Below are 25,475 nucleotides of genomic sequence, written 5' to 3'. Positions count from 1 at the left end.
TTTTCTTGCTTTCCCTCCTCTTCCTGTCACTTAACTCTAGTTTTTATCAGCGTATCAATCTTTCCTTCCTACACTCTCCCTTTTAGAGCCAAGTCAAGATAGTGGGTGCCCTGTGGAAAGCAAGTGGAAGTAAGTCCAACAGTGGCTTCAGGGCTGATAATCATGTACTGGTTATTGGTGGGGGTGCTAGTTACAAAGGTGTGTTCACTTTGTGATAACTCATCAAGCTGTACACTTATGATACATGCGCATTTCCGTCCACATGCTTCAATTAAAAGTTGTTTTTTTTTTTAAAGCATAAGGAGCCTACTCCTTGGACTAGAATGGTGAGAAGCTCTTAGGCCTTCAGTTTTAAATAGAACTGCTGGTGGCTGAGAGATTAGAGTGGGACTACATGGTCTCTTCTTTACTGAGCAGTTGAGACCAGTAGTACATAAGAGGTCATATATATTTTAGATATTACATAGAAAAAGGAACCACCACCAAGATGCCGGGTTTCTCAGATAATGTTTACATTTGTCTGAATGTCTTGATTTTTAACAAATGTCCATTGTTTATTTTTATATATTTGTTGAACCTGAGAGTTAAAATCAGAGAAAATCCTTGAACTTTCCAATCTGACCTATGCAAGTGATATGACTTGAGTTAAAGCCAGAACTTGACATGACACAGACAGAAATGCTACTTTGCTTGAGTTCAGAAGGTCCCAGAGCTCTCCAACTTCATTATTTCTCCAAGTGGAGCATTTTATAAAACATTCCATTTTTTTCCACCTGCTTCAAGCATCAATCTAGACAGAAGTTCCCATCACATATGAATCCAAGTAACAACCCCAAACGAATAATCCTGAGAAGTATACATCTTGTCCTTCATATATAATTGCTTATATGATGACATATTTAATTAATCTAATTTACTAATTTGAAAGTTATTCAAGTAGGTTATTTTTTATGCTTGGAGGCTGTTCAAAGGTGATTACACATAACCCTTTCTGTGCTTTGGAACATATCCCTGTTTTAAAACATTCACAAGGGACAGTCTTGTAGCTAAGTACATAAGGTCCCCCCAGGTCCCTCAGCTTTGCAATCTTTTATCTGCAATGCATAAAAATGAACATGATGACTTTGTTCCCTTTTCCTTCCACTAATTGTTAATTGATGTTTATTACATTATGGCTATCTCCAAGACTCTTAAGAGAGTCTGAAATATACTGAGTAATTCTGTAGTTACCTATGAAAAGGAAGAAAATCAACACAATGATCATCATGTACCCAAAGTACAAAATAGAGCTCGCAATTTCTGTGATTTGAAGTTTGGCAGAGAAGTAATGAACTGCATACGTAAAAAGATAAACAGCTATAAAGCTTCTGGTTAAAAATCGCCACCACCAATGATAATCCTGTAAAAAGAAGTAGAAAAAAATGACTTTTCAGATGAAATTTTAACCATAAATGGGTTAGCAGTTATAACAAGAACACAAGATAAGCTCCATAAAATAATGGATTAAAAGGAATAAAAGAGAACCTTTTATAAGAAATTTAATAAAATATGTAATGTATGTCCTGCTTGGGGTATCCTAACAATTGTCAACTCTTTGTTTCCAGGGATACCACATGTGCCCTCTGGGATTGGGACTTTTAATGTGTGCAGGCTATCATAACATTGCCTCAGCCCTGGAAGGCATTCAGTTCAGCTTCTACATACTGGCCAGAATTGTGCTATGCCTATTGATGCCTCAGGCTAGCCTTTTTTTTTAAAGGGGGATAATATAGAAATTTAGGCTAGACCTTGTGGTTAATAAGATTTGCTTTAACTGGCTCAGTTCAGGACCCATGGATGGCATGACTAAGGTCAATACTGCAGGTTGGTCTCACCCTGTTCCATGGACTCCTACTGATGATAATATTATTGCAAAGACACTGTGGCCAAGGACCATCAGGAAAGACAGTGCAGAAAAGAATTAACATAGCAGATCTGAGGCTACTATCTTTAGAAAGCCTGCTTGCGAGCTCTAGCTCTCGCTCTCCCTCTCCCTCTCCCTCTCCCTTTCCCTCTCCCTCTCTTTCCACGGTCTCCCACTGATGCCGAGCCGAAGCTGGACTGTACTGCTGCCATCTCGGCTCACTGCAGCCTCCCTGCCTGATTCTCCTGCCTCAGCCTGCCGAGTGCCTGCGATTGCAGGCGCGCGCCACCACGCCTGACTGGTTTTCGTATTTTTTTGGTGGAGACGGGGTTTCGCTGTGTTGGCCGGGCTGGTCTCCAGCTCCGAACTGCGAGTGATCCACCAGCCTCGGCCTCCCGAGGTGCCGGGATTGCAGACGGAGTCTGGTTCACTCAGTGCTCAATGGTGCCCAGGCTGGAGTGCAGTGGCGTGATCTCGGCTCGCTACAACCTCCACCTCCCAGCCGCCTGCCTTGGCCTCCCAAAGTGCCAAGATTGCAGCCTCTGCCCGGCCGCCACCCCGTCTGGGAAGTGAGGAGCGTCTCTGCCTGGCCGCCCATCGTCTGGGACGTGAGGAGCCCCTCTGCCTGGCTACCCAGTCTGGAAAGTGAGGAGCGTCTCTGCCCGGCCACCATCCCATCTAGGAAGTGAGGAGCGCCTCTTCCCAGCCGCCATCCCATCTAGGAAGTGAGGAGCGTCTCTGCCCGGCCGCCCATCGTCTAAGATGTGGGGAGCGCCTCTGCCCCGCCGCCCCGTCTGGGATGTGAGGAGCGCCTCTACCCGGCCGCGACCCCGTCTGGGAAGTGAGGAGCGTCTCTGCCCAGCCGCCCCATCTGAGAAGTGAGGAGACCCTCCACCTGGCAACTGCCCCATATGAGAAGTGAGGAGCCCCTCCGTCCGGCAGCCACCCCGTCTGGGAAGTGAGGAGCGTCTCTGCCCGGCAGCCACCCCATCCGGGAGGGAGGTGGGGGGTCAGCCCCCCGCCAGGCCAGCCGCCCCGTCCGGGAGGGAGGTGGGGGTGTCAGCCCCCCGCCCGGCCAGCCGCCCCGTCCGGGAGGGAGGTGGGGGGGTCAGCCCCCCGCCCGGCCAGCCGCCCCGTCCGGGAGGGAGGTGGGGGGGTCAGCCCCCCGCCCGGCCAGCCGCACCGTCCGGGAGGGAGGTGGGGGGGGGTCAGTCCCCCCCCCGGCCAGCCGCCCCGTCCGGGAGGAAGGTGGGGGGGTCAGCCCCCTGCCCGGCCAGCCGCCCCGTCCGGGAGGGAGGTGGGGGGGGTCAGTCCCCCCCCCGGCCAGCCGCCCCATCCGGGAGGAAGGTGGGGGGGTCAGCCCCCCACCCGGCCAGCCGCCCCGTCCGGGAGGGAGGTGGGGGGGTCAGCCCCCCGCCCAGCCAGCCGCCCCGTTCGGGAGGTTAGGAGCGCCTCTGCCCGGCAGCCCCTACTGGGAAGTGAGGAGCCCCTCTGCCCGGCCAGCCGCCCCGTCCGGGAGGGAGGTGGGGGGGGTCAGCCCCCTGCCCGGCCAGCCGCCCCGTCCGGGAGGTGAGGGGCGCCTCTGCCCGGCCGCCCCTACTGGGAAGTGAGGATCCCCTCTGCCCGGCCAGCCGCCCCGTCCGGGAAGGAGGTGGGGGGGTCAGCCCCCCGCCCGGCCAGCCGCCCCGTCCGGGAGGGAGGTGGGGGGGTCAGCCCCCCGCCCGGCCAGCCACCCCGTTCGGGAGGTTAGGGGCGCCTCTGCCCGGCAGCCCCTACTGGGAAGTGAGGAGCCCCTCTGCCCGGCCAGCCGCCCCGTCCGGGAGGGAGGTGGGGGGGTCAGCCCCCTGCCCGGCCAGCTGCCCCGTCCGGGAGGTGAGGGGCGCCTCTGCCCGGCCGCCCCTACTGGGAAGTGAGGAGCCCCTCTGCCCAGCCACCACCCCGTCTGGGAGGTGTACCCAACAGCTCATTGAGAACTGGCCATGATGACAATGGCGGTTTTGTGGAATAGAAAGGGGGGAAAGGCGGGGAAAGGATTGAGAAATCGGATGGTTGCCATGTCTGTGTAGAAAGAGGTAGACACGGGAGACTTTTCATTTTGTTCTGTACTAAGAAAAATTCTTCTGCCTTGTGATCCTGTTGATCGGTGACCCTAACCCCAACCCTGTGCTCTCTGAAACATGTGCTGTGTCCACTCAGGGTTAAATGGATTAAGGGTGGTGCAAGATGTGCTTTGTTAAACAGATGCTTGAAGGCAGCGTGCTCGTTAAGAGTCATCACCACTCCCTAATCTCAACTACCCAGGGACACAAACACTGCGGAAGGCCGCAGGGTCCTCTGCATAGGAAAACCAGAGACCTTTGTTCACTTGTTTATCTGCTGACCCTCCCTCCACTATTGTCCTATGACCCTGCCAAATCCCCCTCTGTGAGAAACACCCAAGAATGATCAATTAAAAAAAAAAAAAAAAAAAAAAGCCTGCTTGCCAGGTTGGCCCTTGGTTTGCATCTGGGAATTTGGCATTTAGTCATTTCCTGACTGATGTAGACTGGTTTGCTATGCCTAGACTGTACAGACAATGTGATTTATGGTCGATACTTGCTTTCCTTTGGGGAGTCCGGAATTTTGTAGTTGCTAGGCAGAGGGTGCCTATGTGACTACTCCCCATAAAAACCTTGGATGCTGAAATCTCTAACGGGCTTCCCTGGGCAGAACATTGCATATTTATTACTGCATTTCTCACTGCTGGAGAAAGAAGCATACTCAGTGTGCTCTCTAATGGGAGGGAACAACATAGGAAGGCTGCGCCTGGATTTCTCCAGGCTCCACCTGTCTTTTTCCCTCACTGATCCTGTGGGCATCCTTTCTGTAGCCTACCCATGTATGCATCTGTATGCCCAGTCCCACGAGTCCTTCTAGTGAGTCACCAAACATGTGGGTAGTCTTCAGGACCCCCTAAAACATTTTCTTAGGAATAAAAACATATCCATTATATGCTTATTGTTGTATGCCTCATTAATGATTGCTGCAGATTCTCTAAGGCAAAATGTACCATACTAATAATGACCAGCTGATATGATTTGGCTGTGTCCCCACTGAAATCTCAACTTGAATTGTATCTCCCAGTTGTGGGAGGGACCCAGGGGGAGGTAATTGAATCATGGCAGCCTGTTTTTCCCATGCTATTCTCGTGATAGTGAATAAGTCTCATGAGATCTGATGGGTTTATCAGGGGTTTCTGCTTTTGCTTCCTCCTCATTCTTCTCTTGCTGCTATGTAAGAAGTGCCTTTCGCCTCCCGCCGTGATTCTGAGGCCTCCCCAGCCATGCGGAACTGTAAGTCCACTTAAACCTCTTTTTGTTCCCAGTTTTGGGTATGTCTTTATCAGCAGTGTGAAAATGAACTAATACACCAGCTAAGTATAAATATACTACATAAGTATATTTAAGTATATATATAGTTATATTTTGTACCTCTATACCAATAGCACAAGAAGAAAATGTCTAAGAAAACATGTATATAAGAATCATTCCCTGAACCCTCTATTGTCTGTTATCTTTGAAGAGTCATATTTAACTACCAAAATAAAACGGATTTAGGGGATTTAAGAGAACAATGTACACTACCAGCTCAGTTATCCAGAATGATATCGGGGGAAAATGGGACTGGGGTAAAAAGAACTATTGTGTCTGTGGTAACCAAAAGGCAATAAAATGAAAGAAGAGAAAGGACCTTTAGCCACTATCTCAAACCAACAAACCAGAATGCTGGCTTAAGCTGCAAAGAAAAAATTTAATTGTTAAAAAGAAAACATCAGCCGGGCGTGGTGGCTCATGCCCGTAATCTCAGCTGTTTGGGAAGCCAAGGAGAGTGGATCACTTGAGCCCAGGAGTTCAAGACCAGGCTGGGCAACATGGCAAAACCTCGTCTCTACTAAAAACACAAAAATTAGCTGTGTGTGGTGGTGGTCACCTGTAATCCCAGCTACTACAGCTACTAGAGAGGCTGAGGCATGAGAATCGCTTGAACCCAGGAGGCAGAGATTGCAATAAGCCGAGATTGCACCACTGCACTCCAGCCTGGGCGACAGAGTGAAACCCTGTCTCAAAAAAAGAAAAGGAAATATCATTGAACTTGATAAATATTAAATCAGTCCCTTATATTTTTCTGTTAACTGAATATCATGCAGCAATTACAATAACCAGCCAAAGAGAAATAACTTTCTATTTAAATTTTCCATCAAAGCAGCCTTAACTTGACAGCCACATCAAAGTCAAAATGTGTTAATAGGAAAACACAATATAAAACTGATCCCAAGTTGTAGAAACATGCAGTTATCATTTATTTCAATTCTTTTCTAAACACAGACTTCCAATTCCAATAATGCAAGTATAGCAAATGCATTAGTTTCTTATGGCTTTACCTCAGCACATAAATGAAAATAATACAGCAAAACTGTAACTTCTGAGCAAGTAATCACAAGAATTATAAAGACTAAGAAAAGGAAGCCAAACATGTAGTACAGCTAATGAGACCTGAAAATAAAAATAAGAGGTTTAAATAAACTTTAACTTAACAGTACACACAGAAAGATCAATCCAAATCTATACAATAGACAGTCATACACTTCTCTAAACCTTTTTTTTTCTTTTTTTCCCCTAAACATTCAACTCTGTATTCCAAATCTCCACTTATCCTTTAAGTACCAAAAAATAGTCCCTTACCTATGCAGTTTCAGAGTTTGGCCGTATCTTCTCTAGTCAGAACCAGTGCTGCTACTTACCCATGTTTCTCTGGTCATATAAGTTAGTTCTCACTTGAGACTCATCAATATCACCATAATTTTCTCCATACATATTTAAAAACATTCTCTTTAGAAATTGAAGGCTGCAAATGCCATAAATACCAACAACGACATCATAAAACAGAAAACCAGATTCAAATACCACTTTTGCCTTAGAAAGCCTGTTGACATTCACCTTTTCCAAATATGTCTTTATAGCACAGCACACATAATTCTATTAAATATACTTTCAAATGTGCCTTTTAAAAAAATCTGTGTGTGGATTACATCTAGGTGAAACTTTGAAAGAATGCAGTTAACTCTCTTGGTTATTATAGACCTGAGCTAAGTTGGGATGATCAATGCCCATTCCAATTAATTAACTAATACTTTAGAGACAGGGTCTCACTCCATCACCCAGGCTAGAGTGCGGTGGTGCAATCACAGCTCACTGCAGTCTCAACCTCCTGAGTTCAAGTGATCCTCCTGCCTTAGCCTCTCAAGTAGCTGGAACTTACAGGCTACCATGCTTGGCTAATTTTTTAGCCAAGCACGTGCCACCATGCTTGGCTAATTTTTTATTTTATTTTATTTCATTTGTAGAGACAGGATCTTGCTATGTTGCCCAAGGCTGGCCTTGAACTCCTGGCCTCAAGTGATTCCCCCTGCCTCAGACTCCCAAAATGCTGGGATTAAAGGCATGAGCCACCACACCCAGCCACAACATCCATTTTAAAAAGCCTTTTGGAAATAAAAAGAAATTGATGAACCGATCAATACGCCACCTAAAAATGTCATGTAAAATATATACCTGAGTATGAGAGTGAGGGATGAGTATTGAGAAGCATCTCCCTAGATAATAAATTTATACAAAGTTGTATGCAACAAATACATTGCTTCAAGACCAGCCTGGCCAACATGTTGAAACCCTGTCTCTACCGAAAATACAAAAATTAGCTGGGCATAGTGGTGCACGCCTGTAGTCCCAGCTACTCAAGAGGCTGAGACACGAGAATTGCTTGAACCTGGGAGGCAGGTGGAGGTTGCAGTGAACCGACATCGCACCACTGCACTCCAGCCTGGGTGACAGAGTGAGACCCTGTCTCAAAAAAATAAAAAACAAAAGTAAAATAAAAAACAAGCACATTGCTTTTCACTGAAATGAAAGTTAATTGTCTGAAAAACCTTTCAGTTTCCATTTTAAAACTACTTTCCCATCAAGAACATCTGGAAAATATGGTTAGTATCATCTACTTTGCAGCTTGTTTTTTTTTTTGTTTTGTTTTGTTTGTTTGTTTTTTGAGATGGAGTCTCACTCTGTCGCCCAAGCTGGAGTGCAGTGGCACGATCTCAGCTCACTGCAACCTCCACCTCCCGGGTTCAAGTGATTCTCATGCCTCAGCCTGTCTAGTAGCTGGGATTACAGACAGTCACCACCACGTCCGGCTAATTTTTGTATTTTTAGTAGAGATGGGGTTTCACCATGTTGGCCAGGCTGGTCTCGAACGCCCCACCTCAAGTGATCCACCTGCTTCAGCCTCCCAAAGTGCTGGAATTATAGGTGTGAACCACTGCGCCCAGCCAAAAAAGTAAATCTTTATAAATATTTCCATCAAAACGTGCCTTTTAAAAATTGTGAATTCAACAGGGTGACTACAGTCAATAATAATTTAATTGTACATTTTAAAATAACTAAAAGAGTATAATTGTATTGTTTGAAACACAAAGGATAAATGCTTGAGGGGATGGATACCTCGTTCTCCATAGATGTGATTATTATGCACTGCATGCCTGTATCAAAACATCTCATGTACCCCATAAATATATACACCTACTGTGTACCCACAAAAATTAAAAATAAATATTTTTAAAGTCATGAATTAAGTCTCGGTTCTCTAGGAAATTCTTCTAGGTCAGATTGTTATTTACTGGATAAAGGGAGGTAAATGAAGTATTATCATATCAGAATTTAACCTCCTTAAACTATAGGAATGTTAATTTACTAAAAACTAACACTTTTAAGATTATGAAGATGTAATACTCACCAAATACTGTTCAGAATGAAAAAGAGTTGAATAAAAATACAGCCGAAGGGGAAAATGCCACCAATTATGATGCCAAGAAGTGGTTTTGTAAAGAAGTTCTATGGAGGAATCTGACAGGGGATCTGGTTTGTCTGAACTGGACAACTAATCTGCTCGGAAATAAATGAAGTGAGAATCAGAATGAAATGAAACTGAAAAACATCTATACAGATATTATCACAAAACAGAATCTTGAATCTGAAGAGGGCATGGAATATTTACAGGAGCATTTTTCTCAAAGGCAGCTTTGAGAAAACAACAATAGTATAAAGAAAATAACAAAAAGCAGTCATGTGGGCAGGGGCTAGGCCAGTGCTGTGCAATGGAAGTATAATGCAAGCCACATGTGTAGTTCTAAATTTTTTAGTAGCCCCCCTTAAAAAAGTAAAAAGAAACAGATGGAATTAATTTTAACATCATATTTTATTTATTCTAACATGTCCAAATATTATGATTTATACTTGTGTTAATATAAAATTATTGAGCAAATATTTTACGTTATCTTTGTCGTTGTTCTAAGTGTTCAAAATCTGGTGTGTATTTTCCACATAGAGCCCATCTCAATTCCGACAGCCACATTTCAGGTGCTCAACAGCCACATGCGACCAGTGGCACCATACTAAGTGACACACAGCTAAACAATCAATGAGGATATTTATCCTTTTTTATAATTTCCAAGGGAGAGACTGGAAAGATTTACCAGTGACTATTCTAATGCAAAATAATCTAAAATGTCCAAAAGTTCTCTCTTAGAATTTGTCTAAGAATGTGTCAATAGTTTTCAGAAAATTTTCTTTTTGCTGCTCTCTGTGGAACTCCACCTCCCATTTTGTCTTTTCCAACATTTCCTCTGCAATCTCATGCTATATCCTTGAAGAGTTTTTTGGCTGTGTGGCCTCATTGAGACTTTTTGGTATCCTATACCTTTCTCCGATATGTGGAATAGGCTAACTTCAAATCTGTAAACCGAATAGCCCCATTCCTTGGACTACATCTTGACTTCCTTATCCCACTGTATAACCCTATTAGTTTCCTGAGTTGGCTGATGTCAGCCTTTCTACAATATGTCCTTTTAATTTGGTTCATCAGAGGTAAAAGGCAGTATAAACAATTGATAATGTAGGAAATGCATTAATGTCTTTGAAAGTGTTACTGTCCTTTACTTAATTTTTTAAAGTATCTTTTATTCCAAAATGATTATTCTCTGTAGTTTTCTCCAGTGGGACTTTTTGTATTTCATGTGTAATATATACACTGAGGTATTATTTCAGTCATCGCTCAGTGGCCAAAAGCAGTATTTTAAGAGTTTACCTTTTCTTTATTTCCAAAATATGCACCAAAAAATGTTAGTGGTACTAAAATTCTAAACCAAATTGTAAGGATATCTAGCAGAGTAGCAAAGGAGACGGCAGCTGATGACCCTTCCATCCAGAGAATTTTCATCATAATAAAGAGATCAGCAAAGACAATTCTGAAGGGAGAAAAAAGTCATTAGGAAACAAGGGGTAGGGAGAGATTTGTTAAAGGCCACAAAATTACAGCTAGATAAGAAAAGTAAGTTCTAGCATTCTATAATGCTGTAGGGTGACAACAATTAATAATAATATGTCATATAGTCTCAAATAGCTAGCTAGGAGGAGGATATTCAATGTTCCCAACACAAAGAAATAATAAATTTTGAGATGATGGATATGTTAATTACCCTGATTTGATCACTATACATTATATGCATTGAAATATCACTATGTACCCCAAGAATATGTACAAATATTATATGTCCATTAAATTTTTAAATTTTTAATTTAAAAATGTGTACAACAAAAGAAAACAATATACTTTCAGGAAAATGTTATAAACGTAACTTTTTTTGAGATAATAGCTTGCCCTGTCACCCAGGCTGGAGTGCAGCAGCACAATCATCGCTTACATGTAGCTTCAACCTCCTGGACTCAAGCAACCATCCCACTAAAGCCTCCTGAGCAGCTAGGACTACAGGTGTGTGCCACCAGGACTGGCTAACCTTTTTTGTAGAGAGGAAGTCTCACTACCTTGCCCAAGTTGTTCTCAAATTCCTGGGCTCAAGTGATCCTCCCATCTCAGCCTCTCAAAGCACTGGAGTGGTGGGCAAGAGCCATCACACCTATGAATATCCAGATATTCTTTTCATAAGAAGGATATAATAAATGACAATGTTAAATCCTAGAAGAATATTAAATCACAATGTGTATACCCAGTCATTGAGCTATGGCTTAAACTTAATACCATATAAGAAAGAAGATGGAAGTTTCTTATAGGATGTAATTTCCACAGCCTACTCATCCTTGCACCTTCAAAGTCTAGCAGAAGGTAAATAAGGTGTGAGTAATAGACCATGGAAAAAACTCTATATGCTATATAGTGAACACAATCAAGAAATAGCATATATGGAAAATAGATTTTCAAATCCTAGGCTGAAAGGGGCCATAAGATGCCTTCAAGTTAGACAGGTATTCACTTAAGGAGTTTTAAATTGGTTGCTCAAAATCAACAGGCCAACTTCTAAGTCTACTGGATACATCACCAGGCAAGCCGAGCTGCTGTGCCCCTACTTATTTGGTACACCAGACAAGTTTGACCAAAGCTACAAGTGGAGATGGGTATGGATATGGATATGAGTGTTTCGGAAAGCCTAAAAAATAAGGTTGAAACAGTAGACAGAGGCTAGACTGTGGAAGACTTTGATTTTCTCCTTTTGGCATTAAGAAGCAACAGAAGAGTCTTTTACAATCAAAACTCTGATACACAGTGCAGTTGTTTGGGAAGAAGAATCCACAACATTGTGGAAAACAGACCTAAGGGACGAGATGATAGAGGAAAGGAGCCCAGATAGGAAGTGGTAAGAAGCTGTATAATGTGGTGATGGTTAAAATGAAAAGAGATGGATATAAAAGACATGAAGAGTTAAGAATACCCATGAAACAAATGTGCACGTGTACCCCTGAATGTAAAATAAAATAATTTAAAAAAACAAAAAAAGAATTAAGAGACTTGTGGTTAAAGATGGCAGATAATTTAACTCACACGTTTAGCTCTGCTCCTTCCTCAAAACCCTGATAAAATTACAGTAAGGGAATTATAAAATGGCATAAACACACAAGGTAGGAGAATAGGGAGAGAAGATACTAGCAACAAATGTTGGAAACTAGATATAGCAGCTGAACAAATAGTAACTGAATCACCAGAACTGAGAAACCTGCATCCCAAGTCATCAGTAGGGAAAGCTGAAACGCAAATCCACTTATACCACAGAATTCCAAAAGGGCTCAGGAACTTGTAGTACCAGGTACCCCTGCAAGTAGGCATGAAAGAGAGGTAATAACCAGGAGGACTGCTTGAAAGTCAGCCTAGGAAGCTGACTTGCAGATTCCTTGCCCTATTCTGCAGGGCCAAATAACTTCCCTTCCCCAACACCAGCAGAATACTGGAGGTCTGTTCTCTTGGGGAAGATCCCTGAAGCTTAGAAGGAAACTTTTAAAAAGAAAATCTATCATTGACATCCTCGGAAAGATTAGAGGAGATATTGCGACCATAAAACAAGAAACAGAAATTTTAAAGTCTATTGAGAAAACAAAAGAGCCTCTTGGGAATTAAAAATATGACAAGAGGAATTAAAACCTCAATAAAAGGGTTGGAAGATAGAGATGATAAACTGTCTTAGAAAGCAGCATTTAAAAAAATTGAAAACAGGCAAAAAATTATAGGAAAATTAGATGAACAACCCAGACATCCGAAAAACAGGAGTTATGGAAGGGGACAGAGTTCCTTATTAATGTCTTTTAGGGATATTAAGTACTTTGCTCAAGGTCAAACCACTAAAAGAGGAAGAGCTGGGATTCTAAGTCAGGTGTGTCTGATTTTTTAAGTGCAAGTTTTTTCTCGTTACACTATGCTATAATAAAGCCTCTATGATGAGGCCTCTATGATGATAACTCTAGAATGTTAATATGTGTGCAACAAATCTGTAACTGTCCTCCAACTTCATGTTTTTACATTCTAAATATTTCTTCCTGGGTGCAGTAGCTCATGCCTATAATCCTAGCACTTTGGGAAGCCAACGTGGGCAGATCACATGAGGCCAGGAGTTCAAGACCAGCCTGACCAACATGGCAAAACCCAATCTCTACTAAACTACAAAAATTAGCCAGGAGTGGTGGTACATACCTGTAATCCCAGCTACTCGGGAGGCTGAGACTAGAGAATCACTTGAACCCAGGAGACGGAGGTTGCAGTGAGCAAAGATCACGCCACTGCACTCCAGCTTGGGCAACATAGACTCTGTCTCAAAAACAAATAAATAAATAAGCCTCTATGATGAGAAAATTATCCCTGAACCCACTCCACAAATTACATCTGTCTTCTCCCCTCCTGGACATTTTGTCAGAGACCAGAGAGAGAGACTGTATTAATAGCCACTCTACGATATTACCAGTTTAGGCTTTGAGGTCTACTGTTCAGGGAATCTCTGGTTAGCTCTTTCGTTGTAAGTTCTCCCAAGGTCCATTCCAAGTCTATCATTTTAATTATGCCATCATATTTGTCATCTCTTCTCAATTTTTTATTTACAATCATTGTTTTGGATGGTTTTTCATCTCTCATTACAAGTGATTTGGCCTTTACTCAATCAACTTCAGTCATTTGTTCTTTCATTTTACTATTTCTACAATGTTTACATTGTAAATTGTGTTTACAATTTCTTCTGTCTACTAACAACTTTTTCAGTAGGTATAGCTATTCTGCTCTCCAAAGGCTCATACTTTGCTCCTGTTGATGTAGCTTCAAGCTCTTTCAAACAAAACAAAACCTCCACCTTATGTCTCATCAGTTTCTGGCATCTTAATAAGGAAGCCTGGTTTTCCATGATTTAACTCCACTTCTCAAAATGTTTTTAATACCTTTCTGCTCTAATGAATTTGTTTAGCCACAATATTCCTCTGCCAAATTTCCTAGCTTTTGAGAGATTCGTTTCAGCTGTTATCATTCCTTGGCCAGAAAAATTACTTCTCACTTGACAAATCATAACCTCCCTTTTTATATATAAACTCAATTAACCCGTCTCAACAATTTCCCTTTTGAAAGTACACTCTAGAATGTTAATATGTGTTTAACAAATCTGTAACTGTCCTCCAAGTTCATGTTTTCACATTCTAAATATTTCTTCCTATGTCAATCTCTAATTATTTCTAGACCTTTTCACAGAATCTTAAACAGCAAAACTAGAAGGAAACTTAATAGGTCACCTGAGTTCATCTCCGACCTGAAACATTTATTCACACATTTATCAAACATTTATTGAGTACCAGTGTGTTAGGCCCTGGTGTCCAAAGATAAATAAAACAAAAATCTTAGCTCTGAAAAAAGCTCAATCTAGTGGGAGACAGATATAAACAAATAAATTACAATACAACATGGGAAGTGCTATGGCAGAATGATGAACACAGAGCAGTAAGAACCCAGAAGAAAAGAGTGACCAAAAATGCTTTGTAACTCACAAAACAATTTCACAATCCATTAGTTCATTTACTTCTCTAAACACCTCTGTGACATAGGCATTACATGCAAGGAAATGGGCAATCAGAAATGTTATAGGACATTCCCCAAAGTCACTCGCCTAATATTGAGTGCTGAAATTCAAACTTTCTTCTTTCTATTTTAAAGTTTCGATGCATACCCATCAAACTCTGCTGCCTCTTCCCTTCCCTACCTACCGCTTTGGGGGTTACATGGAGGAAAACTACATTGTTTAATAAACTTTACTGTCTTCACATTCTTTTAGGGAATATATATGTTCATTAGTCTAATCGCTTCTCCATCTATAAGCTGGTGCAAAAGTAATTGCAATTTTGTAGCTGAAAGGAATTGCAAAAACCACAATTACTTTTGCACCAACCTAATGAATCCAAATCCATTTATATGCTGTGAGGCACTGAAATTCTCTTTCAATCTACCACATTTTGAGAAATAAGAATCCCAGTATCTTATGACTCTCTCTCCTATTCACCTGAGAAAGTCCATAAACCACTTAAGGGAAGTACATCCTTTGTATCATTCTTGGTTTATCGCTTTAAAATTGCATTCAGATCTACTAACAGAACTAGAAAACTCAATCTGTTTTGAATTTTTAAATTATTCACATTATTCAGTGATACAGTAAACATTTACTGAGCACTTACTCCATTATAAGGCACTGAGTTACACACTGTGAAAAATACTGAGGTGAAGAAGACATAGTATTCGCCCTCGTGAGTTTTAAAATCTAGAATGGGAGACAAGACATATTACAAATAACTACAATCTAAGGAAGACTGTGATAAGTGTTGTAATAGTGATAATAGACACTGTACAAGTTAAGAGCATGGAAGTGGTGGTATTTGAGAATGAAAAAAACTGTCATAGGGAAATTCGAAAGAAGAAATTACAAATAGGCCAGGCACCATGGCTCACGCCTGTAATCCCAGCACTTTGGGAGGCCAAGGCGGGTGGATGACTTGAGGTCAGGAGTTTGAGACCAGCCTGGCCAACATGGTGAAACGTCTGTACTAAAAATACAAAAATTAGCAGGGCATGGTGGCAAACGCCTGTAATCCCAGCTACTCGGAATACTGAGGCATGAGAATCACTTGAACCCAGGAGCCGGAGGTTGCAGTGAGCTGAGATCACACCATTGCACTCCAGCCTGGGCAACAGAGTGAGACTCTGTCAAAAAACAAACAAACAAACAAACAAAAAAAACGAAATTACAAATAGATGGAACATCATGAGCAAAGGCACGATGGTAAAAGAAAATAGTAACTAATAACCACAGCTACCATTTATGGAGTACTTATTCTGTGTTAGGCACTGTTCTAAATGCTTTACATACATTATCCCACTTAATCCTTGCAGCAACCATACAAGGTAAATAATATCATTATTTCCATACTGCAGATGAAGAAATCTAAGTTTAGAGAAGTTAAAGAACTTGCCCAAAGTTCCATGATTAGTAAACATTATTTGTTTGAAACTCCTTTGCTGCCTATCTAATTTAAAAGACAATTGCATAATGCAATAATTATGCATCCATATTGATGGGCATATGAAGTATAAAGGTATAGTTTGTATGACAATGACAGCACAAAGGAGGGGGAGGGAAAGGAGCTGTAGAGGAGCAAAGCTTTTGTGTAATATTGAAATCAAGTTGGTATTAATATGAGCTACATTGTTATAAATTAAGATATTAGCAATCCATAAAACAACCATTAAGAAAATAACTAAAAAAAAAAGTAAAAGAAATGACAAGGGAATAAGAATGGTACACTAGAAAATACCTACTTAACACAAAAGAAGGCAGTAATGAAGGAACAAAGGAACAGAAAAGACATAAAATACATAGAAAAAATAGCAAAATGACAGATGCAAATTCTACTTTATCAATAACTACATTAAACGTAAATTGATGAAAATTAAAAAGAAGAGATTGGAAAAAGTGTTCAAAAAATTATCCAAATATATGATGTCTACAAGAGGTATAATTTTGATTCAAAGGCACAAATTAAGTTGAAAGTAAAAGTATAAAATGTGTATGTGTGTGTGTGTGTGTGTAGCAAACAGTAACCAAAAGAGAGCTGGGGTAGCTACACTTCTATCATGTAAAATAGACGTAAAGACAAAAAGTGTTATGAGACATAAAGGACATTCTGTGACAATATAAAAGTCAATACATCAAGAATAAATAGCAATTTATAAACATATGTGTACCTAACCACAGAGCCCCCAAATTATATGAAGCAAAAACTGACAGAATTGAAGGAAGAAATAGACAACTCTACAATAATAGTTGGCGACTTCAGTACCCCACTTTCAATAATGGATACAACAACTAGAAAGAAGATCAACAAGAGAATGAAAGACTTGAACAACACTATAAACCTACTAGATCTAACAGACATCTACAGAACACTCCATCCAACAAGAGCAGAATATACATTCTGCTCAAGTATATATGGAACATTCTCCAGGGTAGACCACGTGTTGGGCCATAAAAAAGTCTCAATAAATTGAAAAGAACTGAAATCATACAAAGTATAATGTCATTGAAATAAATTAAACAAGGCCAAACAAGTGGAAAGATATCCTGTGTGCACGAACTAGAAGACTTAATATTGCTAAGATGGCAATATTCTCCAAATTAATCCACAGATTCCATGCAATACCTATCAAAGTCACAGCTGGCTTTTTTGTTTTATTCTGTTTGGATTTTATTTTTTTGAAATGGGGTCTTGCTGTTTTGCCCAGGCTGGCCTTAAACTTCCTGGGCTCAAGGGATTCTCCTGCCTCAGCCTTCTGTGTAGCTGGGACTACAGGCACATACCACTGCACCCAGCTTACAGTTGACTTTCTGAAGAAATTGAGAAGTTCTTTCTAAAATACATATGAAAATGCAAAAGTCTAGCCAAAACAATCTTGAAAAAGAAGAATGTTGGAGAACTCACACTTCCTAATTTGAAAATTTAATACAAAGCCACAGTAATCAAGATGTTGTGGTACTGGCATAAGGATTATCATGTAAGGATAGACCAATAAAATAGGATTGAGAGTCCAGAAAGAAACCCATAGATTTATGACCATTTGATTTTCACCAAGGAACTCCAGACAATTAAATAGGGGAAGAACAGTCTTTTCAGCGGATGGTGTCAAGACAAACTGGATATCCACATGCAAAGAATGAAATTAGACTCATCTTGTGCCATATACAAAAGTTAACCTGAAATGGATCTAAGACTTAAATTTAAGACATAAAAATATAAAACTGTAAAACAGAAATAAATTTTAGTGACGTTAGATTAGGCAATGGTTTCTTAAATGTGACATGAAATCCACAAGCAACCAATGACAGACTTTGTCAAAATTTAAATTTTGTGCTTCAAAGAATTCAATCAAGAAACTGAGAAGACAGTCCATGGGATAGAAGAAAACATTTGCAAGTCACATACCTGATAAGGATTTAGTATCCAGAATGTATTTTAAAAACTCTTAAAACGCAACAATAAAAAGAAAAATAATCCAGTTTTTAAATGGGGATTTTAATAGACATACTTCCAAAGAAGACATGCAAATGGTCAATAAGCACATGAAAAGATGCTCAATATCATTAGTCATCAGGGAAATGCAAATTAAAACTATAAAATAGGCGGTGCACCCTGGGATAGGGAGCGATCTCCAAGCGAGGCGGCAAGATGGACTCAGGATTCTTCCACCGATCAAGTGCAGAACAGTATAATCGGTTCAGCAACAAACAGAAGAAACTACTGAAGCAGCTGAAATTTGCAGAATGCCTAGAAAAAAAGGTGGACACGAGCAAAGTAAATTTGGAAGTTATAAAGCCTTGGATAACAAAAAGAGTAACAAAAATCCTTGGGTTTGAAGATGATGTTGTGATTGAGTTTATATTCAACCAGCTGTAAGTGAAGAATCCAGACTCCAAAATGATGCAAATCAACCTGAATGGATTTTCGAATGGAAAAAATGCTCGAGAATTTACGGGAGAACTATGGCCCCTGCTGCTAAGTGCACAAGAAAACATCTCGGGAATCTCTTCTGCTTTCCTAGAACTGAAGAAAGAAGAAATAAAACAAAGACAGATTGAATAAGAAAAATTGGCGTCTATGAAAAAGCAAGATGAAGACAAAGATAAAAGGCATAAGTTAGAAAAAGAAAGCAGCAGAGAAAAAAGGGAGAGGTCTCGTAGCCCAAGAAGACACAAATCTTCTTCCCCTAAAAGACAATCTTCCCCTGTTAGAAGAGAGAAAGCACAGTCATTCTCGATCTCCCCAACAAAGAACCAAGGGCCAGAGTCCTTTTCCTGCTCCAGAAAAGAAGGAAAAAACTCCAGAGCTCCCAGAACCTTCAGTGAAAGTAAAAGAACCTTCAGTACAACAGGCCACTTCTACTAGTGACATTCTGAAAGTTTCCAAACCTGAACCTGTACCAGAGCCTAAAGAACCTTCTCCGGAAAAAAATTCCAAAAAAGAAAAGCAGAAGAAGACCCGACCACGATCTCAGTCACACTCCAAATCAAAATCTCAGATGCGGTCCCCACTGTCCTTCTCACACTCCACCTAGACAGCGCCATAGATCCCAATCAAGATCGTATTCACCTAGAAGGTGGCCAAGCCCAAGGCGGCAGCCATCTCCTCGAAGAAGAACCCCACCAAGAAGAATGCCTCCTCCACCAAGGCATAGAAGGAGTAGATCTCCAGTAAGATGAAGAAGACGTTCATCAGCATCCTTGTCTGGGAATAGCTCATCATCCTCTTCATCTCATTCCCGGTCACCACCAAAGAAGCCTCCCAAGAGGACATCCAGCCCCCCTCAAAAAACTCGTAAGTTATCTCCTTCAACAAGTCCTCCAAGGCGAAGGTACAGGCCATCTCCTCCTGCAACTCCACCACCCAAAACTCAGCATTCCCCAACACCCCAGCAGTCAAACTGTACAAGAAAAAATCATGTTTCCGTGTCTCCAGGGAGAACTTCAGGTAGTAACAAAACATAAAGGTACTGAGAAAAGGGAGTGCCGTTCACCAGCACCAAAGCCTAGAAAAGTAGTTGTCTGAATCAGAAGAAGATAAACATGGTAAAATGGCTGCAGCAGATTCTGTGCAGCAGAGACACCAATACAGACAACTAAACCAGCAGTCTTCATCTGACTCTGGCTCCTCCTCCTCTTCAGAAGATGAACGACCCATGAGATCCCATGTGAAGAATGGTGAGGTTGGCAGGCGGCGGAGACATTCCCCTTCCCGGAGTGCCTCTCCATCACCACAAAAGCGCCAAAAAGAGACTTACCCTCGTGGTAGACAGAGGAGAACTCCATCCCCACCACCCACCAGAAGGCGATGGTCTCTTTCTCCTGCCCCTCCTCCTCGAGGGCACAGTTCTCCCACACCACCACCACGAAAAAGAACTCCTTCTCCTCCCTCACATCGGTGCTCACCTTCTCCTAGAAGATACTCTCCTCCAATACAGAGGAGATACTCTCCTTCTCCACCTCCAAAGAGAAGAATGGCTTCTTCTCCTCCCCTTCCTGAACAAAGAGCATTACCATCTCCACCACCCAAGCATTGGGTCTCCCATTCTCCACCTCCCAAACAAAGAAGCTCCTCAGTCACCAAGAGACGTTCACCTTCATTATCATCCAAGCATAGGAAAGGGTCTTCCCCAAGCCGCTCTACCCACGAGGCCCGATCACCACAACCAAACAAATGACATTCACCCTCACCACGGCCTCGAGCTCCTCAGACCTCAAGTCCTCCACTTGTTTGAAGAGCAGGGTCGTCATCACCCCAAAGAAGGCAGTCCCTGTCTCCAAATACTAGGCCCTTTAGGGGAGTCTCCAGGACTCTGGAACCTAAAAAAACAAAAAAGGCTGCTTCACCAAGCCCACAGTCTATAATGAGGGTCTCATCATCCTGATCTGTCTCCAGGTCTCCAGAGCCAGCAGCTTAAAAGCCCCCAGCACCTCCATCCCCCATCCAGTCTCAGTCACCATCTACAAACTGGACACCAGCTGTACCAGTCAAAAAGGCCAAAAGCCCAACACCAAGAGCATCACCGCCAAGAAAGCCAGATCAAGAAGGAGGTGGGAAAAAAAAGAAGAAAAAGGACAAGAGGGGGGTGGTTCCAAGATGGCCAAATAAGAACAGCTCCAGTCTACAGCTCCCAGCGTGAGCGACACAGAAGACGGGTGATTTCTGCATTTCCAACTGAGGTACCAGGTTCCTCTCACTGCGGATTGTCAGACAGTGGGTGCAGGATAGTGGGTGCAGTGCACCGAGTGTGAGCCGAAGCAGGGCAAGGCATCGCCTCATCCGGGAAGCACAAGGGGTCAGGGAATTTCCTTTCCTAGCCAAGGGAAGGGGGGACAAGTGGCACCTGGAAAATCGGGTCACTCCCACCCTAATACTGCACTTTTCTGACAGTCTTAGCAAACGGCACACCAGGAAATTATATCCCGCACCTGGCTCGGAGGGTCCTACGTCCATGGAGCCTCACTCATTGCTAGCACAGCAGTCTGAGATCGAACTGCAATGCGGCAGCAACGCTGGGGGAGGGGTACCCGCCATTACTGAGGCTTGAGTAGGTAAACAAAGCGGCCAGGAAGCTCGAACTCAGTGGAGCCTACCACAGCTCAAGGAGGCCTGCCTGCCTCTGTAGACTCCACCTCTGGGGGCAGGGCATAGCCAAACAAAAGGCAGCAGAAACCTCTGAAGGCTTAAATGTCCCTGTCTGACAGCTTGGAAGAGAGTAGTGGTTCTCCCGGCATGCAGCTGGAGATCTGAGAATGGACAGACTGCCTCCTCAAGTGGGTCCCTGACCCCCCAGTAGCCTAACTGGGAGGCACCCCCCAGTAGGGGCAGATTGACACCTCACACAGTCGGGTACCCCTCTGAGACAAAACTTCCAGAGGAACGATCAGGCAGCAACATTTGCTGTTCAGCAATATTCGCTGTTCTGCAGCCTCCGCTGCTGATACCCAGGCAAACAGGGTCTGGAGTAGACCTCCAGCAAACTCCAACAGACCTGCAGCTGAGGACCCTGACTGTTAGAAGGAAAACTAACAAACAGAAAGGACATCCTCACCAAAACCCCATCTGTACGTCACCATCATCAAAGACCAAAGGTAGATAAAAACCACAAAGATGGGGAAAAAACAGAGCAGAAAAACTGAAAATTCTAAAAATCAGAGCACCTCTCCTCCTCCAAAGGAATACAGCTCCTCACCAGCAACGGAACAAAGGTGGAAAGAGAATGACTTCGGCAAGTTGAGAGAAGAAGGCTACAGATGATCAAACTTCTTTGAGCTAAAGGAGGAAGTTCAAACCCATGGCAAAGAAGTTAAAAATCTTAAAAAAAGACTAGACGAATGGCTAACTAGAATAACCAATTCAGAGAAGTCCTTAAAGGACCAGATGGAGCTGAAAACCAGGGCACAAGAGCTACGTGACAAAGGCACATGCCTCAGTAGTCGATTCAATCAACTGGAAGAAAGGGTATCAGTGATGGAAGATCAAATGAATGAAATGAAGAGAGAAGAGAAATTTAGAGAAAAAAGAATAAAAAGAAACAAAGAAAGCCTCCAAGAAATATGGGACTCTGTGAAAAGACCAAATCTACATCTGATTGGTGTACCTGAAAGTGACGGGGAGAATGGAACCAAGTTGGAAAACACTCTGCAGGATATTATACAGGAGAACTTTCCCAACCTAGCAAGGCAGGCAAACATTCAAATTCAGGAAATACAGAGAACACCACAAAGATACTCCTCGAGAAGAGCAACTCCAAGACACATGATTGTCAAATTCACCAAAGTTGAAATGAAGGAAAAAATGTTAACGGCAGCCAGAGAGAAAGGTCAGGTTACCCACAAAGGGAAGCCCATCAGACTAACAGAGCATCTCTCGGCAGAAACTCTACAAGCCAGAAGAGAGTGGGGGTCAATATTCAACATTCTTAAAGAAAAGAATCTTCAACCCAGAATTTCATATCCAGCCAAACTAAGATTCATAAGAGAAGGAGAAATAAAATACTTTACAGACAAGCAAATGATGAGGGATTTTGTGACCACCAGGCCTGCCGTAAAAGAGCTTCTGAAGGATGCATTAAACATGGAAAGGAACAACCAGTACCAGCCACTGCAAAATCATGCCAAATTGTAAAGAGCATCGAGGCTAGGAAGAAACTGCATCAACTAACGAGCAAAATAACCAGCTAACATCATAATGACAGGATCAAATTCACCCATAACAATATTAACCTTAAATGTAAATGGGCTAAATGCCCCAATTAAAAGACACAGACTGGCAAATTGGATAAAGAGTCAAGACCCATCAGTGTGCTGTATCCAGGAAACCCATCTCACGTGCAGAGACACATATAGGCTCAACATAAAGGGATGGAGGAAGGTCAAGCAAATGGAAAATTAAAAAAGGCAGGGGTTGCAATCCTAGTCTCTGATAAAACAGACGTTAAACCAACAAAGATCAAAAGAGACAAAGAAGGCCATTACATAATGGTAAAGGGATCAATTTGACAAGAAGAGCTAACTATCTTAAATATATATGCACCCAATACAGGAGCACCCAGATTCATAAAGCAAGTCCTCAGAGACCTACAAAGAGACTTAAACTCCTACACAATAATAATGGGAGACTTTAACACCCCACTGTCAACATTAGACAGATCAATGAGACAGAAAGTTAACAAGGATACCCAGGAATTGAACTCAGCTCTGCACCAAGCAGACCTAATAGACATATACAGAACTCTCCACCCCAAATCAACAGAATATACATTCTTCCCAGCACCACATCACACTTACTCCAAAACTGACCACATAGTTGGAAAGCACTCCTCAGCAAATGTAAAAGAACAGAAATTATAACAAACTGTCTCTCAGACTACAGTGCAATCAAACTAGAACTCAGGATTAAGAAACTCACTCAAAACCACACAACTACATGGAAACTGAACAACCTGCTCCTGAAAGACTACTGGGTACATAATGAAATGAAGGCAGAAATAAAGATGTTCTTTGAAACCAACAAGAACAAAGACACAACATACCAGAACCCCTGGGACACATTTAAAGCAGTGTGTAGAGGGACATTTGTAGCACTAAATGCCCACAAGAGAAAGCAGGAAAGATCTAAAATTGACACCCTAACATCACAATTAAAAGAACTAGAGAAGCAAGAGCAAACACATTCAAAAGCCAGCAGAAGGCAAGAAATAACTAAGATCACAGCAGAACTGAAGGAGATAGAGACACAAAAAACCCTTCAAAAAATCAATGAATCCAGGAGCTGGTTTTTTGAAAAGATCAACAAAATTGATAGACCGCTAGCAAGACTAACAAATAAGAAAAGAGAGAAGAATCAAATAGATGCAATAAAAAATGATAAAGGGGATATTACCACTGATCCCACAGAAATACAAACTACCATCAGAGAATACTATAAACACCTCTATGCAAATAAACTAGAAAAACTAGAAGAAATGGATAAATTCTTTGACACATACACTCTCCCAAGACTAAACCAGGAAGAAGTTGAATCTCTGAATAGACCAATAACAGGCTCTGAAATTGAGGCAATAATTAATAGATTACCAACCAAAAAAAGTCCAGGACCAGACAGATTCACAGCCGAATTCTACCAGAGGTACAGAGGTACAAGGAGGAGCTGGTACCATTCCTTCTGAAACTATTCCAATCAATAGAAAAAGAGGGAATCCTCCCCTAACTCATTTTATGAGGCCAGCATCATCCTGATACCAAAGCCTGGCAGAGACACAACAAAAAAAGAGAATTTTAGACCAATATCCCTGATGAACATTGATGCAAAAATCCTCAATACTGGCAAACCGAATCCAGCAGCACATCAAAAAGCTTATCCACCATGATCAAGTGGGCTTCACCCCTGGAATGCAAGGCTGGTTCAACATATGCAAATCAATAAACGTAATCCAGCATATAAACAGAACCAACGACAAAAACCACATGATTATCTCAGTAGATGCAGAAAAGGCCTTTGAAAAATTCAACAACCCTTCATGCTAAAAACTCTCAATAAATTAGGTATTGATGGGACGTATCTCAAAATAATAAGACCTATCTATGACATACCCACAGCCAATATCATACTGAATGGGCAAAAACTGGAAGCATTCCCTTTGAAAACTGGCAGAAGACAGGGATGCCCTCTCTCACCATTCCTATTCAACATAGTGTTGGAAGTTCTGGCCGGGGCAATCAGGCAGGAGAAAGAAATAAAGGGTATTCAATTAGGAAAAGAGGAAGTCAAATTGTCCCTCTTTGCAGATGACATGATTGTATATCTAGAAAACCCCATTATCTCAGCCCAAAATTTCCTTAAACTGATAAGCAACTTCAGCAAAGTCTCAGGATACAAAATCAATGTGCAAAAATCACAAGCATTCTTATACACCAATAACAGACAGAGAGCCAAATCATGAGTGAACTCCCATTCACAATTGCTTCAAAGAGAATAAAATACCTAGGAATCCAACTTACAAGGGATGTGAAGGACTTCTTCAAGGAGAACTACAAACCACTGCTCAATGAAATAAAACAGGATACAAACAAATGGAAGAACATTCCATGCTCATGGATAGGAAGAATCAATATCGTGAAAATGGCCATACCGCCCAAGGTAATTTATAGATTCAATGCCATCCCCATCAAGCTACCAATGACTTTCTTCACAGAATTGGAAAAAACTACTTTAAAGTTCATATGGAACCAAAAAAGAGCCCACATTGCCAAGTCAGTCCTAAGCCAAAAGGACAAAGTTGGAGGCATCACGCTACCTGACTTCAAACTATACTACAAGGATACAGTAACCAAAACAGCATGGTACTGGTACCAAAACAGAGATATAGACCAATGGAACAGAACAGAGACCTCAGAAATAAAACCACACATCTACAACTATCTGATCTTTGACAAACCTGACAAAAATAAGAAATGGGGAAAAGATTCCCTATTTAATAAATGGTGCTGGGAAAACTGGCTAGCCATATGTAGAAAGCTGAAACTGGATCCCTTCCTTACACCTTATACAAAAATTAATTCAAGATGGATTAAACACTTAAATGTTAGACCTAAAACCATAAA

At 41.8% G+C, this 25,475-nt stretch overlaps 2 pseudogenes; one reads left to right on the top strand and one right to left on the bottom strand.

Moving 5' to 3' along the window:
- The window catches only part of TM9SF5P (transmembrane 9 superfamily member 5, pseudogene), a 40,579-nt pseudogene continuing 16,332 nt past the window's right edge, over positions 1,229 to 25,475 (bottom strand).
- SRRM1P3 (serine/arginine repetitive matrix 1 pseudogene 3) lies at positions 17,994 to 20,450 on the top strand (annotated as a pseudogene).

The sequence above is a fragment of the Homo sapiens genome, chromosome X (assembly GCF_000001405.40).
Source record: "Homo sapiens chromosome X, GRCh38.p14 Primary Assembly".
Lineage (NCBI taxonomy): Eukaryota > Metazoa > Chordata > Mammalia > Primates > Hominidae > Homo > Homo sapiens.
This window is presented reverse-complemented; position numbering and strand designations above follow the sequence as displayed.